The 16,775-nt window shown below is 35.9% G+C and overlaps 1 protein-coding gene across 8 annotated transcripts in view; it reads right to left on the bottom strand.

Moving 5' to 3' along the window:
* Positions 1 to 16,775, bottom strand: part of BCAS3 (BCAS3 microtubule associated cell migration factor) — a 714,981-nt gene that overhangs the window by 439,782 nt on the left and 258,424 nt on the right. For all 8 annotated transcript variants that reach the window (NM_001353144.2, NM_001353145.2, NM_001330413.2 and 5 more), the window contains exon 14: positions 5,698 to 5,831. In NM_001353144.2, the coding sequence (NP_001340073.1) occupies positions 5,698 to 5,831 (134 nt within the window). The remainder of the gene's footprint in view (positions 1 to 5,697; positions 5,832 to 16,775) is intronic.

The following is a 16,775-nucleotide window of genomic DNA, read 5'->3' as shown; positions in this document are numbered from 1 at the left end:
AGCAAAGACATGGAATCAACCTAAACGCCTATCAATGGCAGACTAGATAAAGAAAACATGGTACATAGACACCATGGAATATTATGCAGTCATAAAAAAGAATGCGATCATGTCTTTGCAGGAACGTGGATGGAGCTGGAGGGCATTATCCTTAGCAAACTAATACAGGAATAGAAAACCAAATACTGCATGTTCTCACTTATAAGTAGAAGCTAAATGATGAGAACACATGGACACATAGAGGGAACAGACACTGGGGCCTCCTTGAGGGTGGAAGATGGAAGGAGGGAGAGGATCAGAAAAAAATAACTACTGAGTACTAGGCCTAGTACCTGAATGGCAAAATAATCTGTACAACAATCCCCCATGACATGAATATACCTACATAATAAACCTGCATATGTACCCCTGAACTTAAAATAAAAGTTTAGGCCAGGCACGGTGGCTCACACCTGTAATCCCAGCACTTTGGGAGGCCAAGATGGGTGGATCACCTGAGGTCAGGAGTTTGAGGCCAGCCTGACCAACATAGTGAAACCCCGTCTCTACTAAAAACACAAAAATTAGCTGGGCATGCTGTTGGGCGCCTGTAACCCCAGCTACTCGGGAGGCTGAGACAGGAGAATCACTCGAACCCAGGAGGCAGAGGTTGCAGTGAGCCAAGATCGAGACACTGCACTCCAGCCTGGGCAACAGAGCAAGACTCTGTCTCAAAAGAAAAAAAAAAAAGTTTAAAAATAATTTTTAAAAAATTTAAAAGATAAGACTTCCCAGTTTAGCCTGAGAATAAAATAACAGAGATAAAGAAAAATGTGCAAACCCATTTCCTGTCTTTAGTCTTTTCTAAACTGTAGCAACAAGAACACAAAAAGCAGGAAAAAATATACAGTAAGGGATAAAAATTCAAGATTTTTACATTTTAATTAAAGCTCATGAATTAATTCAAATAGAACTTGGACTATGAAAATGCCAAGACCCAGCCAAGTGCAGTGGCTCATGCCTGTAATCCCAACACTTTGGGAGGCTGAGGCGGGTGCATCACCTGAGGTCAGGAATTCAAGACCAGCCTGGCCAACATGGTGAAACCCTGTCTCTACTAAAAATACAAAAATTAGCTAGGTGTGGTGGCGGGTGCCTATAGTCCCAGCTACTCAGGGGTGCTGAGGCAGGAGAACTGTTTGAACCCGGGAGGACAGAGGCTGCAGTGAGCCGCGATTGTGCCATTGCACTCCAGCCTGAGCGATAGAGACTCCGTCTCCAAAGAAAAAAAAAAAAAAAAAAAAAAGAAAGAAAAGAAAATGCCAAGACCCTATCAATCAGTAAATTGGATTTTCCCCTAGATATTAATTAGAAATAAACATACATAGCTTTTAAGAACTATTGATCTTTAAATGTCAGAACTCAAATTAGTAAGGTTAAGTAAAATCATTTTTTTAATCCTCAGATCTCCAGTGCTAGGATAATAATTGAAAAAGATATAATACCACTGCACTGTTAAGAACAATTTCATCTACAATAAACATGTTTGGGGATCTTAAGAATGCACAACAAATTGACAAGCAAAGCAGCTCTGGGTGCAGAGGTTAATGGGTCAGGTAACTTTGATGTTTTTGTTCCATGTAGTTCAAGATTGTCTAAAATTTACCTCCAAAATGTTATTATGTATTACTTATATCATGAAAAACATGCAAGAAATAGGGCAAAACAATGAAGTCAAAATAAAAGATATTATTCAAAAAGCAAAGAGTATAGCTATCACTACTACAGTTGCATAATATTTTAGAATTCCTAGACAATATAATAAGAGAAAAATAAAAACAAAAAAGATAATAATTTTCAGAAAATGTATTCCACTTAGAAATTCCAAGAAAATTTACTGAAAAACTACTTAATCTTACAAGAGAATCTAGCAAAGCAGGCATACACAAATTCAATACAAAATTATCAATAGCTTTGCCATACCACAGCAATGACAAATTTTAAAATGTTAAAATTCCTAGTTGCAAAACTTCTACAACATAAAGATGTCAGTTCTAACTGTATTAAAATGTAATTTCAATGCAATTTAAATAAAAATCTCCACGGGATTCACTATGCAACGCAAGAAGGTCACTCTAAAACACAACAGCTGGGAAAGCTTTTGAAAACGAACAATAAATCAAGTCATAAAGCTAAAGTAAGTAAAAAAGTTGGTGAAGGGTGTTGTTTTTGCTTCCTATTAAGAGAAATTTCCAAACATACACAAAAATATAGAGAATGTTAACATGACCCACCTACATGGACATCATTCAACTTCAACAATTAACGCTCTGCAGATCTGTTGACTATATCTCATTGTTTGTTTTGCTAGAATATTTTAAAGCACATTAGAGATATCATCTCTGTTCACCTGTAAATAATTCAGAATATATGCCTAATAAATAATGACTTTTAAAAAATTAGTTACAAGGCAATATGCAGTGGCTTATGTCAACACTGTGGAAGACCCAGGTGGTAACCCAGGAGTTCAAGACTAGCCTGGGCAACACAGCGAGACTCTGTCTCTACAAAACAAATACACAATTACATACCCAGCAAATTAGTTATAGTTGATAAATGTCAAATAACACCTCATTCATGGTCAATTTTCTCCAACTGTCTCAAAAATGTCTCTTTATACTTTATTTAGATCAGGGTCCAAACAAAGTTTTCACAATGCATTTACTCAATGTGTATTTTAAGTCTCTTATAATCAACATAACCATCCCTCTATTGTCTTCTGTCACTTATTTGTCCTATTATCTAACCAACCCTCCCCTCCCCTACTGCTAGATCATTTCAAAGCAAATTCCAGACATCTGTAAATACTTTTGCATCACTAAAAAATAAGGACTTTAAATTCCTGAATACCTAATATTATCTATATAATATCTAATAATAATAAATAATATCTAGTAAGTCAAATGTAAAAATCTCACAACTTGTCTGAAAAATGTCTTTTTATATTTGGTTTGTGTGAAAGAGGATTTAAATAAGGTCCACGCTTTGTACTTAGATGATACTCTCCAAAGTCTCCTTGAATTTTAACAATTCACCTTTCCCCCACCACACATCAACTTTTATTTTCCAATTACAATTATTTGTTAAAGAAATCAAGTCATATTTGTAATGTAGAACTTCCCATATTTTAGAGTTGGCTAGTTGCATTTTCATGGTGTTGTTTAACTTATCCCTCTATTTCTGTATTTTCTCCAAAGTGAGACTATATCTAGAAGCTGATTTGTTAGTTTAGTGCAAAAGTAACTATAGTTAACAATAATTTATTGTATATTTCAAAATAATTAGAGGATTGGATTTAGAATGTTCCCAACACAAAGAAACAATGGATATCCCAATTAGTCTGACGAGATCATTACGCATTGTATGCCTGTATCAAAATATCACATGTACCCCACAAATAGGTACAACTATTATGTACCCATAAAAATTAAGAATAGGCCAGGGTGGTGACTCACACCTGCAATTCCAGCACGTTGGGAGGCTGAGGCAGGAGGATCACTTGAGCTCAGGAGGTTGAGACTGGCCTGGGCAACACAGTGAGACAACATAGTGTCATCTCTACAAAAAAAGAAAATAAACTGAAAAAATTGCCAGGTGTGGTGGCATGCACCTGTAGTCCCAGCTACTTGGGAGGCTGAGACAGGAGGATCACTTGAGCCCAGGAGGTCAAGGCTGTACTCAGCTATGATCCTGCCACTGCACTCCAGCCTGGACAACAGAGCAAGACCCTGTCCTCAAAATACTACTACTACTAATAATAATAATTGTATAAGAAACCTTAGAAATAATTTTTAAAATTTTACTTAAGCCAGTTTTATGTTAGAATATTTCCGTGAGGCTGGGCGCGGTGGCTCACGTCTATAATCCCAGCACTTTGGCAGGCCAAGGCAGGTGGATCATGAGGTCAGGAGTTCAAGACCAGCCTGGCCAACATGGTGAAACCCTTTCTCTGCTAAACATACAAAAATTAGCCAGGCGTGGTGGCACATGCCTGTAATCCCAGCTACTCAGGATGCTGAGGTAGGAGAATTGCTTGAACCCAGGAGGTGGAGGTTGCAGTGAGCCGAGATCATACCACTGCACTCCAGTCTGGGCAACAGAGCAAGACTTCATCTTGAGGGAAAAAAAAAAAAAGAATATTTCAATGAAAAAACTTTCCCTCATCAACTACTTGATTGTCTTATTAAATTGATAACAAGAAAAGTGGGGTAAACACTGTATATTTTTGGTTTATCAGTTTTCAGAGTGAGTTAGTAAATAAGCAACCTAGAGTAATGCCTAATACTTTTTCAAACATATTCTTATAAACTATTAGCGTTTAAGTTCTCTAAATTTAAGACATTTCAATCCATTATAGTCATTTATTTTGGTGGGAATTCAAGAGAAACATCACTTTAGACTGTTGGAAAATGATAGGCTAGTCAATAAATAGAGTAGGGTCAAATGGCTATCTTGTAGAATAACATATATACAGTGTTATATTGGCAAGTGCATATAAGGTATGAAACAAAAGGTGTTTGAGATTTTAAGCGATTAAGACAATACACAATATCTACCATGTGATATTAAGAATATTAAATATATGTGGGCCAGGCGCGGTGGCTCATGCCTATAATCCCAGCACTTTGGGAGGCTGAAGTGGGTGGATCACGAGGCCAGGAGTTTGAGACCAGCTTGGTCAAGAGATCAGCCTGGCCAATATGGTGAAACACCGTCTCTACTAAAAATGCAAAAATTAGCCAGGCATGGTGGTGGGTGCCTGTAATCTCAGCTGGTTGGGAGGCTGAGGCAGGAAAATTGCTCGAACCCGGGAGGCAGAGGTTGCAGTGAGCCAAAGATCGCAGCGCCACTGCACTCTAGCCTGGGCAACAGAGCGAGACTCCAACTCAAAAAAAATAATAAAAATAAATAAAAATTAAAAATTAAATAAGAATATTAAATATATGTGAAGCACTTAGCGTGGCACCTGATACAAGCGCTCAGTAAATCATGCATATGAACATATGTGTACCCATGCACGTGTACGTGATTATCTGCTGGTAAATGTTTAAAATCTAGCTCTCTGAGGAAAAAAATAGCCCTGATTTGTAGTGTTTGCAAATTTTCATGATCAAATAGTCCCAACATGGGTGATTTCACGCAATCAAAATAATATCACTAAATACCGTGCCAAGGAGGGATGTGCGCAACTGGTTCTCACTAGCCTCCACTGTATTCATATATCCATATTCATCATGAAACTATTTTTGTATATATGAATATGTCCATGTTTATATGTATATGTGTGTGTATGTATGCACATACATATTTATGTACACAGAATCCAAATGCCTAGTAAAAGGTCTGGAGAGACAGCAAATGAATGACAGGAGTTTTCCCTGGGGCAAGAAATGGTCTCAGGTTGGGAAAAGCAGGATAAACAGCCCTACTGTTTTATCAAAATTCATTGAATTTTTAAACAAAAAAATGTTCATCTAGTGCTTATGTATTTACTGGGTCAAAACGGAATTTTTCCCTATTTATCTAACCCATTCTATCACAGACAGCAATATTTTCTCACAAACATCAACATTAAGCTGCAATGTAATATAAATGACCAGCTAGAGTAGATGTCATATTACACCAAGAAATCGCCTTCTGAAAAATTATACAGCTTACTTTGGCTTCAGTTTCTCCCCTGTGAAGAGTATACAGATGGTGGACAGCACATTGTGATGAGGACCAAGGATGAGTCAGAATTTGGAAGACATGAAAGTCATGGCCAAGGGTGTCTGTTGTGACTAGAAGCATTCCTGGAAGACAAAAAACAAAGGGTAAAAATAAAAATGATTATGTATGTGGATGAAATATTCTAAAAAGCTATTCACAATATTTAAAATATTACCAATGGGAAAAAAATTACCAAGGCTATAAGAAACTTTACAAAAGAAAAAAATAAAATATCTTTTTCATGTGAATACCAAGCTTAATGACACATCAGTATATCAGCAAGGTATAAACACTAGATGTGCAAGTATTATGGCATTCCTGTAAAACTAGCAGAGAGAAGTTTGATATTCCTGAATTTACAGAATTCATAATTTTATTTTATTTTTTTCCTGAAGCAGAACCTCACTCGGTTGCCCAGGCTGGGGTGCAGGTGCCTGATCACAGCTCACTGCAGCCGCAAATTCCTGGGCTCAAGAGATCCTCCTGCCTCAGCCTCCCAAGTAGCTGGGACTACAAGCACATGCCACCATGCTTGGCTAATTTTCTTTTATTTTTGTAGAGACAGGGTCTCACCATGTTGCCCAGGCTGGTCTCAAACTCTGGGCCTCAAGCAATCCTTCTGTTGTGGCCTCTCAAAGCTCTGAGATTACAGGCATGAGCCACCGTGCCCAGCCACAATCATTTTTCAAAACAAAGAATGTGAAAATGACATACCCCCCATGAAACTCCCTCTTTTGCAATTTCTTCAAGCTTTAATTCTACGCTCCAATTTATCTACTGATCCAACTACTACTTCCTGTACTTAATTCACCATGATATTTATTGAAAATGCCAATAGAGTCTATTACAGAGAAAGTTCTTAATTTTGATGAGATGTCATAGCTAAGAATTCTTTGCCTAACCCAAGGTCACAAAGATCTTCTCTTTCCTTGTAAAAGTTTCATAATTTTATGTTTTACATTTAGGCCTATCATCATTTTAATATTTGTATAAGGTGTGAGGACCTTATACAACAGGTTATAAGGTGAGGATCCTATACAAAACATGGACAAGGTTAACTTATTTGCATAAGATGTCCAATTGTTCCAGAAAGACTTCTTGAAGACACTGTTTTTTCTCCATTGAAGTAACATTGTCAACTTGCCAAGGATCAATTGGCTATTTGTGTAGGCCTATATCTTTTTGAGATGGAGTCTCGCTGTCTCCCAGGCTGGAGTGCAGTGGCGCGATCTACGCCCACTGCAAGCTCCGCCTCCCAGGTTCACGCCATTCTTCTGCCTCAGCCTCCCAAGTAGCTGGGACTACAGGCGCCCGCCACCATGCCCGGCTAATTTTTTGTACTTTTAGTAGAGACGGGGTTTCACCATGTTAGCCAGGATGGTCTCGATCTCCTGACCTCATGATCCGCCGGACTCAGCCTCCCAAAGTGCTGGGATTACAGGCATGAGTCACCATGCCTGGCATTTTTTTATTTTTTATTTATTGTTATTATTATTATTATTTGAGACAGTCTCGCTCTGTCACCCAGCCTGGAGTGCAGTAGTGCATTCTTGGCTCACTGCAACCTCCACTTCCTGGGTTCAACAGATTCTCATGCCTCAATCTCCCAAGTAGCTGGGACTACAGGTGTGCGCCACCATGCCTGGCTAATTTTTGTATTTTTAGTAGAGATGGAGTTTTGACATGTTGGCCAGGCTGGTCTCAAACTCCTGGTCTCAAGAGATCCGCCTACCTCAGCCTCCCAAAGTGCTGGGATTACAGGCGTGAACTACCATGCCAGGCCAAGGCCTATTTTTGAAGTTCTATTCTATTAATTCAATTTCTGTGTCTATACATTCACTAATACCACATTCTTGGTTACTGTAACTTCACAGAAAATCTTGAAATCAGGTAAAATGAGCCTTTTCCTGCCTTTTTCAACATTATTTTAGCCATTCTTGTTTAGGATTTTGAGGGAACTGTATTGAGTGTAATAAATTAATTTGGGGACAACTGTTATCCTAATATTGTGCCTTCTGATCTATTAACACAGCATATTTCTTGATTTAGATCTATTTTGACTTCTTTTTGTTTGACACACAGATTCTGAAAATATTGTCTTTTAGAGTTATTATAAATGGTAATATTTTTTAAAATGATCAATTTTTGCTTGCTAGTGCATAGAGATAAAATTGATGATTTTTTATCTTGACAATGTATGTTTCCTGCAAGTTCTAGGGGTTTTTTTATACAGTACAAGAATTTTCTTTGATGACAATTACGTAGTTTAGGAACAATCACAGTTTCATTTCTTCCCTTCTGACCTACATGCCTTTTCTTCAATTTTCTCGACTTACTGCATTTGCTGAGGCAAGCAGAAATAGGAAGGAGAGATTTCTGTGTTGTAGGAGGAAAGCATTCAATCTTTAAGTATAACATTATGTATAGGTTTTTTGTAAAAGTCCTTCGTAAAATATGTTGAGAGTTTTTATAATGAAAGAAAATTGAATTTTTCAAGTGCTTTTCTGCAGCTATTGAAATGATTATGTGGCTTCTCTTTTTAAATCTATTAATATAGCGAATTCTAACAATAACTGATTGTCAAATGTTGAATATGCCTTGCATTCTTGGGATAAGCCTCGTTTGGTCAAAATCCTTTATTATAAGCAGCTAGATTCAATTTTCTAATATTTTCTTGAATATTTTCTTATCTGTGTCCCTGAGAAATACTGATTTGTGGTTTTCTTTTCTAATAATGTGTTTGGATGATTTTGATATTTAGGATAATCCAGGCCTCAAATAATCAAATGGGAATGCTCCTTACTCTGTTAATTTCTGGGGAAAAAAAAGATGTAGGATTGCTATTATTTCTTCGTTAAATGTTTAAGGGAATTTTCAAGTAAAAATATTTGGGCCTATTTTTGAAGATTTTTAACTACCATTAAATATTTTGTTAATTTTTTAATTTAAAATTTCTTCTTTGATGAATTACTTTCTGTAATTCAAGGAATTCATCCTTTTAATATCTGTAGAGACATTAATGATATCCACTTTTTCATTCACGATATTGGTAATCTGTGTCTTCTCTGTTTTTTTTCTTCACCAGTCTGGTAAGGTCTTTTTAAGGTTAACCTATTTGGTTTCATAACTTTCTGTTTTTCTCTTTTCAATTTCACTGATTTCTGTTACTATATTTATTATTTCCTTTATTCTCCTTGTTTTGGGTTCATTTGCTCTTCCTTTTTTCGAGTTTCTTATGGGAGCAGCTTAGATTATTGTTTCAGGAACTTTCTTCTTTTCTGGAGTAAGCACATATAGGTATTAATGTCCCTCTAAGCCTGCTTAGCTAAATGTAACAGATTTTGATATGCTGCAATTTCATTTATATTCAGTTTTAAATGTTTCCTAGTTGCTTTGTCTTTTGCTCGTGGGTTATTTAAAGGTATATTGTTTTGTTACCAAATATTTGGATATTTTCCAGATATCTTTCAGATATTATTGCCAGTATAATTTCATTATGACAAGAAGTTACTTCTTTTACATTTGTTAAAGTTTGTTTTATGGCTTGAAATATGATCCTTGTTCCATATACACTTGAACACCTAGAATATATTCTAGAAAGGTATGTAATTGGTAGTGATGTTTGCATCTTCAATTTCCTTACTGACTGACTGCTTTCTGTTCCATTACTGAGTAGGAGTTACAGTCTCCAAGGATAATTGTGGACATGTGTAGTTTTCCTAAGTTATATCAGCTTCCTAAATTTTAGAGCAAGGTTCATACACATTTAGGATTGTATGAAGTCTTGGTCAATTAACCCTTTTAACATGATTTAACCGTGGTTATTTTCCTTGCTCTGAGGTCTAGTTTTTTCTGATATTAACTTTACCACTCCAACTTTGTTTTGATTGGTACTTGCATGGTATATATTTTCCATTCTTCTACTCTATATCTATCAATATAGGCTTCTTTTAGATAACAGTTGGGTGCTCTCACACTCGCTCACTCTCTTTCAATCAAATCACTGCCTTTAATTGGTATTTGTAGTTTATTCATATTTAGTACTTACTGGTAGGGCTGGACTTAGGTCTACCAATTTATTATTATTTTTGCTTGTCTTGTTTCTGTTTTTTATTTCTCTTTTCATGTTTTCTTGCTGTTATGGGACTATTTATTTGGAATATTCAATTTTTATGAAATGCTAATTTCAACATTTTATTCAGTTTTATTTCTCTTCTCATGGTTTCTTGCTGTTTTGAGACTACTTATTTTTAACAATATTTATTGTTGAATGTTAAAAATAAATAATTTATCTATGGACTTTTGAGCTATATCTCTTTATATTAAAATTTTACTGGTTGTTCCAGAGATTATAATACACATATCTAACTTTATGTGCCTGTTCAGTTGTATTTTGTCCAGGTTTCATAAATGTTTTCTATGGGAAGGATGGTTTCTACGTTTACCTTGCTATTCCCAGAAGCAGAATCACATTAGTATAAGCATTTAAACTAATGTTTTGTTGAACAAAAAGGCATGAAAGAATATTAAGCATCTGTGGGAAGACAAGATAGTCATTTCAGTGAAAAGATGAAGTAAATTTGAGTTTGCTATTTCTTTGGCAAACATAAGGTACAGCTCTAGTCACTATATTAAAATATCCTACTAGATGCCACTGTCCTGGCTATTTCCAAGAGAATACATTTTAGAAAATGAAAGGTACCATTTATTATAAATAATTTAATAAATTATTAAACCTACAACAATATATATAACCTTACCTCTCATTATATGTCTAGCTATGATCATGAGGTTATTGACATAGTTTATATTCTTTACTTACTGTTATTCAAACAATAAATTTGTTTTGTTTTGTTTTGTTTTGTTTTTGTTTGGAGATGGGAGTCTTGCTCTGTCACCCAGGCTGGAGTGCAGTGGCACAATCTTGGCTCACTGCAACCTCCGCCTCCCGGGTTCAAGCAATTCTCCTGCCACAGCCTCCCGAGTAGCTGGGACCACAGGCGCCCGCCGCCACGCCCAGCTAATTTTTTGTATTTTGATAGAGAGGGGGTTTCAACCATGTTGCCCAGGCTGGTCTCTGACTCCCGAGCTCAGGCAATCTGCCCACCTCAGCCTCCCAAAGTGCTGGTGTTACAGGTGTGAGCCACCGCACCCGGCCTCAAACAATGAATTCCTAAGTTTAGGCATGAATGCTTTGTTGTCCATTTGTAGACAGTGTTTTGCCACTCCTACTTTTTTGCTGAGTTATACTAAGTTTGAATGATCATAAATCCACTACTATCTTCTGACTCCACCTCTCTGTAACAAATTTTCTGCACTTGACAAACAATTCAATAGAAACATCATTCTGACAGGAAATAAGATGAATTTGCATTTGTAACATATATTCCTCACCTACTATAAACTTCATTAAATTTCGTTTTAAATCATACCATTTTATGTAGAATGAGCATTCAAATAAAGGTCCTCATTTGCCAAATCAAGACTATTATTGTTTTACATATGAATGAAAATCACAAATGAACACGTTCCCATATGTTCCTAGCTTTTCAAACTGGCATTCATCTCTGTTTAGTTATGATTATGTAAAACAAATTCAAATTTTCAGGAAAATGTCCACTAAAAAATTATGCCTATTATCTTCTCTGTATCCTATCTCAAACACTTTTTTCCACCCCTCCATGCAAATGTGGCTTCTACAATCCACCAGTAAGTTTACTTTTTTCACAAAATTTTAAAAATAATATAAAAAATTTAAAGAGCAGAAAGGAGAAAAAGAAATAGCTAGTATAGGACTACATAGTCACGTGCTTTCTTTTCATTTAGAATTTCCTCTTTTGCACACATTCTGCCAGGGAAATAGCAAGCTTTTTTTTCTTCTAGAAAACAAGTTAAAATGCACATATACATAAAAGGAAAAACTTGTGCAGAGTAGACTGTGGCTTGAGAACTATTTATGCTGCATCAGAAGACTAAACCAGACTCTGGCCTGGCCATAAACTAAACCCACGCCCCAAATGAGGTGCCAAGCCACAAAAAGCATTTGCGTCATCTGGGAATACAAGGAAAAAGAAGGACTTCTAATTATAGGGCCTGGAAGCGGAAGCCTAGAGTGATTAGCTGTTTAGGCACTTCTGTATGTTTATCTGGAAGCTTCCTCTCCCTCACTCTTAGCCTCAAGTTTGATAGATGAGCATTAGCGTTAGAGGGTGGGGATTCAAGCTGCTGATGGTACACAGCGTTCTCCAAAATCTGAGGTAGCTGGAGACTGAACATTAAGGCTTTTGTGGCCTCACACGAACATAAGTCTTTTCAACTGGGCGTCAGCTGGTTAACCCAAAAAGCAAAATTAAAGAATAGCAAAATTTCACCAGGCATATGCTATAAAATCTTGGAAACATGAGTAGGTTTGCCTTTTTTGCCATATCCTATTTATAACACCTACCTAATTGTATGGTTCTTTATCATATACACACATGTGAACTAGAAGACAAACTACCAGCTACTCACACTCTTTTCCAAAAAGAGACATAAACATGATTATGCTGAATCAAATAGAAATGTTTACAGGAATTCAGATTATATCATTCATAAAAGAATTTTATACTTTGGCATTAATGCTTGTTCATGTAATACTTTTCAATTAACACCTGTATAGATACAAACTTACAAATTACTTAATTATTTAGAAAAGTTAATAGCCAAATTTGTAAACACAAAAGCAAAGAAACAGAATCCCAGTACTGAAAGAAAGCGTTAACCTCCTCAGCTTACACAAATCATAATATCATAGCTTATTAAAGTCAGATTAATAAAACTTTCAAGCTGGATATGAATACTGGAAAACAAAGGTCCCAAAGTCTCCATATGGGCAGCATAAACTAGCTTACAGCAGCATATTTTTTAAGCTACTTACAAACACTAATAATCAAACTCATCAATGTATTCTTCCACTTTAGTAGCCTAAAATATAGTATATCGTTATCAAATTTGCTACATAACACTCTGTTAAAGGCACTGAAGTAAACACTACCAAAGCAGATGATTTAGCTGATCCCTTACAAAAGTTGCATATATCCATAACCAACATAAATTAGAAATCAGTGATATTGCCCTTATTTGTTTCATGTGGAAAAATCTATATAAAGTGAACAACTGATTTTCTAGCTCACTTTATTTTTTAATTTGTTATATTCGTCCTCCTGCATTTTTAGCAGTTCGAAGTGTATTAACATCATTATTTAAATATTTAATTATTTTCTTTCTCTTTGAATTGTACAATTTTCAGGCTTATGAAGACATCTCTGGTCATTTCCAGTGAGTTTTCATATTAAGCATTCTAATGTTCATTATTTTTAACAGATTTCCTTACCAAATAGATATTTAAGAAAGTGGTGTATGCCTACGTACATGTGTTCTCATTTTTTCAGGTTGTTGAGAATATTTGTCCATTGCCAGAATGTTTTTTAAAACTTTAACCTTTATGAATACATAATTTATATACAATAGATTCATTTTAGATGTACAGTATGATGAATCTGACAAATACATATACCTGTGTAACTACTACCATAGTCAAGAGAAAGAGCATTCAAAAAAAGTTCCCTTGTGTTCACTTGCAAACCATCCTCTCCCCAACCACCTGGCCCCAAGCAACCACTCATCAGCTTTCTATTATGCGGGATGAATACTGCCTGTTTTAGAATTTAATGAAATATAATCACACAATATTTTCTCAGTCTATTTGCTACAAGTAGCAGTATGTCATTCATTGATTTATATTGCTGACTAGTGTTCCATTTTAAATACATACCACAATTTATATATCCATTCCGTAGCTGTTTCTAGTTTTTTGTTTTTTCTTTTTTTTGAGATGGAGTCTTGATCTGTCAACCAGGCTGGAGTGCAGTGGCACCATCTCAGCTCACTGCAACCTCTGTCTCCAGGTTCAAGTGATTCTCCTGTCTCAGCCTCCTGAGTAGCTGGGATTGCAGGGGTTTGTCACCACACCTGGCTAAATTTTTTGTATTTTTAGTAGAGACAGGGTTTCACCATGTTGACGAGGCTGGTCTCAAACTCCTGGCCTCAAGTGATCTACCCACCTCGGCCTCCCAAAGTGCTGGAATTATAGGTGTGAGCCACCGCACCTGGCCTGTTTCTAGTTTTTTAATATTGTAACTCAAACAGCTATGAACATTCAAATACTAGTCTCCATGTGGACATGTTTTTCTTTTCCTTGGGTGAATATTTAGGAGAGAAATTGCAGGGTCATATATTAAATATTTATAAGAAACTGCCAAACTATTTTCCAATGTGGTTGTATAATTTTACATTCTCACAAGCTCCATAACTTCACCAACATTTGATACTGTCAGTCTTTTTAATAATTTCAATTGGTATTCTCACAGTTTTAATTTGCCAGTATTCCTTGGTTATCAGTGATGTTGATCAGTTTTTTGTGTGCTTACTGGCTTTTAAATATTTTCTTTTGTGACATGATTGTTTAAAATCTTTTCCTCATTTTAAATTGTATGTTTTCAATATCTATCTATCTATCTATCTATCTATCTATCTATCTATCTATCTATCTTCTATCAGAAATTTTCTCCCAGTCTGTGGCATGGCTTTTCACTATTTAACATTTTCCCAAAAGATTTCCAATTTTGATGAAGATTTTGTGGTTTGGGTGTTTATCTAAGAAATCTTTTTCTATCCCAAGTTTAAGGATATAACCTTACGTTTTCTTTTTAAAGTTTCATAGTTTTAGTGTTTATGCTAAGCCTATTATCCATTTAGAGTTAATTTTATGTATGATGTTAGTAAAGATTTATTTTTCCACCAAAAGATACCGCAGTTGTTCTAGCACCATTTGTTGAAAAAACTATACTTCACCTATTTAATTACCTGCCACTTTTGTCAAAAATCAAATGACTGTTCTGGACATTATTCCATTCACTCATCTATGTCTATACTTACTCCCTAAAAACCCTTTCTTGGTGAGCTTTAGATTAATTCAGAAATTTAGGTAGTTTAAGTCTTTAAAATTTACTCATCTTTTTCAAGATTGATTTGGCTATTTTAGGTCCTTTGAAATTCCATACAAATTTTGGCCGGGTGCAGTGGCTCACGCCTGTAACTCCAGCACTTTGGGAGGCCAAGGCTGGCGGATCACGAGGTCAGGAGATTGAGACCATCCTGGCCAACATGGTGAAATCCCGTCTCTACGGAGATGGCAGTGAGCCGAGATCTTGCCACTGCACTCCAGCTCCGTCTCAAAAAAAAAAGAGTGAGAAATATAATTGGAAAAGTCTAAGGATAAATGAGTGTTAGTTTCTGGTGTATATTATGTCCCAACACAAAGTTTAGTACTCAAGATCTATACATATCTACATGGTAGTATCAGACTGTAACCAGCCTCAAGGAAAAATTACAGATACAGATACAGTCAACTAATGCTAAATTCATGTCATAGACAATAATTGCTGGAAGTGCATAATAAAGTACACCTTGAATGGAGGTTAGTAGGAATTTGGTAGACAGAAGGGATAGTAAAGTGAAATAATTATGAACAGCATAAGACAGGAAGCAGAGATAAAGAAGAGGATTTCATGGAGAACAATCTGTATCAAGCAGATTCTTTATGTGTTAGGACTACAAAATAATTGGAAAGGTAAATATGGAAATGTAGGAATTTCTAAATGTAGGAAGGGCATTCTGTGTATTTCAGAGATGTGTGAAACAGATCTTTCAAACACTATGGATGTTGCTTAGAGAGGTACATACATAAATAAAATTCAACAAGCCGTATACTTAAAATTGGTGCAACTTATATTACGTAAGTTACAATTCAATAAAAATGAAGACAGACAAAAACAAAAATAAATGTGAGGACAAGATAAACTTGTTGGCTTTATATGGAGTGAATGGAGAAAGGGAAAATGCAAGATGTTTAACAGACCAGTTAGAAAGTTAAAACACTTGAGCAGCCACCCCACCCCCATGGAAGAAAAAAAAAAGAGAGAGAAAAACTCAAAACGCACCATTCAGAGAAGGATATATAAAAAAAAAACAGATATATGGTGAGGGGTAAAAAAAAGAGGTCAGTGACCCTCAGAAATAATGTCGCATATCTACAACCATCTGATCTTTGACAAACCTGACAAAAACAAGAAATGGGGAAACAATTCCCTATTTAATAAATGGTGCTGGGAAAACTGGCTAGCCATATGTAGAAAGCTGAAACTGGATCCCTTCCTTACACCTTATACAAAAATTAATTCAAGATGGATTAAAGACTTACATGTTAGACCTAAAACCATAAAAACCCTAGAAGAAAACCTAGGCAATACCATTCAGGACATAGGCATGGGCAAAGACTTCATGTCTAAAACACCAAAAGCAATGGCAACAAAAGCCAAAACTGACAAATGGGATCTAATTAAACTAAAGAGCGTCTGCACAGCAAAAGAAACTACCATCAGAGTGAACAGGCAACCTACAGAATGGGAGAAAATTTTTGCAATCTACTCATCTGACAAAGGGCTAATATCGAGAATCTACAATAAACTCAAACAAATTTAAAAGAAAAAAACAAACAACCCCATCAAAAAGTGGGTGAAGGATATGAACAGACACTTCTCAAAAGAAGACATTTATGCAGCCAAAAGACACATGAAAAAATGCTCATCATCACTGGCCATCAGAGAAATGCAAATCAAAACCACTATGAGATACCATCTCACACCAGTTAGAATGACGATCACTAAAAAGTCAGGAAACAACAGGTGCTGGAGAGGATGTGGAGAAATAGGAACACTTTTACACTGTTGGTGGGACTGTAAACTAGTTCAACCATTGTGGAAGTCAGTGTGGCGATTCCTCAGGGATCTAGAACTAGAAATACCATTTGACCCTGCAATCCCATTACTAGGTATATACCCAAAGGATTATAAATCATGCTGCTATAAAGACACATGCACATGTATGTTTATTATGGCACTATTCACAATAGCAAAGACTTGGAACCA

The sequence above is a fragment of the Homo sapiens genome, chromosome 17, assembly GCF_000001405.40.
Source record: "Homo sapiens chromosome 17, GRCh38.p14 Primary Assembly".
Taxonomy (NCBI): Eukaryota; Metazoa; Chordata; class Mammalia; order Primates; family Hominidae; genus Homo; species Homo sapiens.
This window is presented reverse-complemented; position numbering and strand designations above follow the sequence as displayed.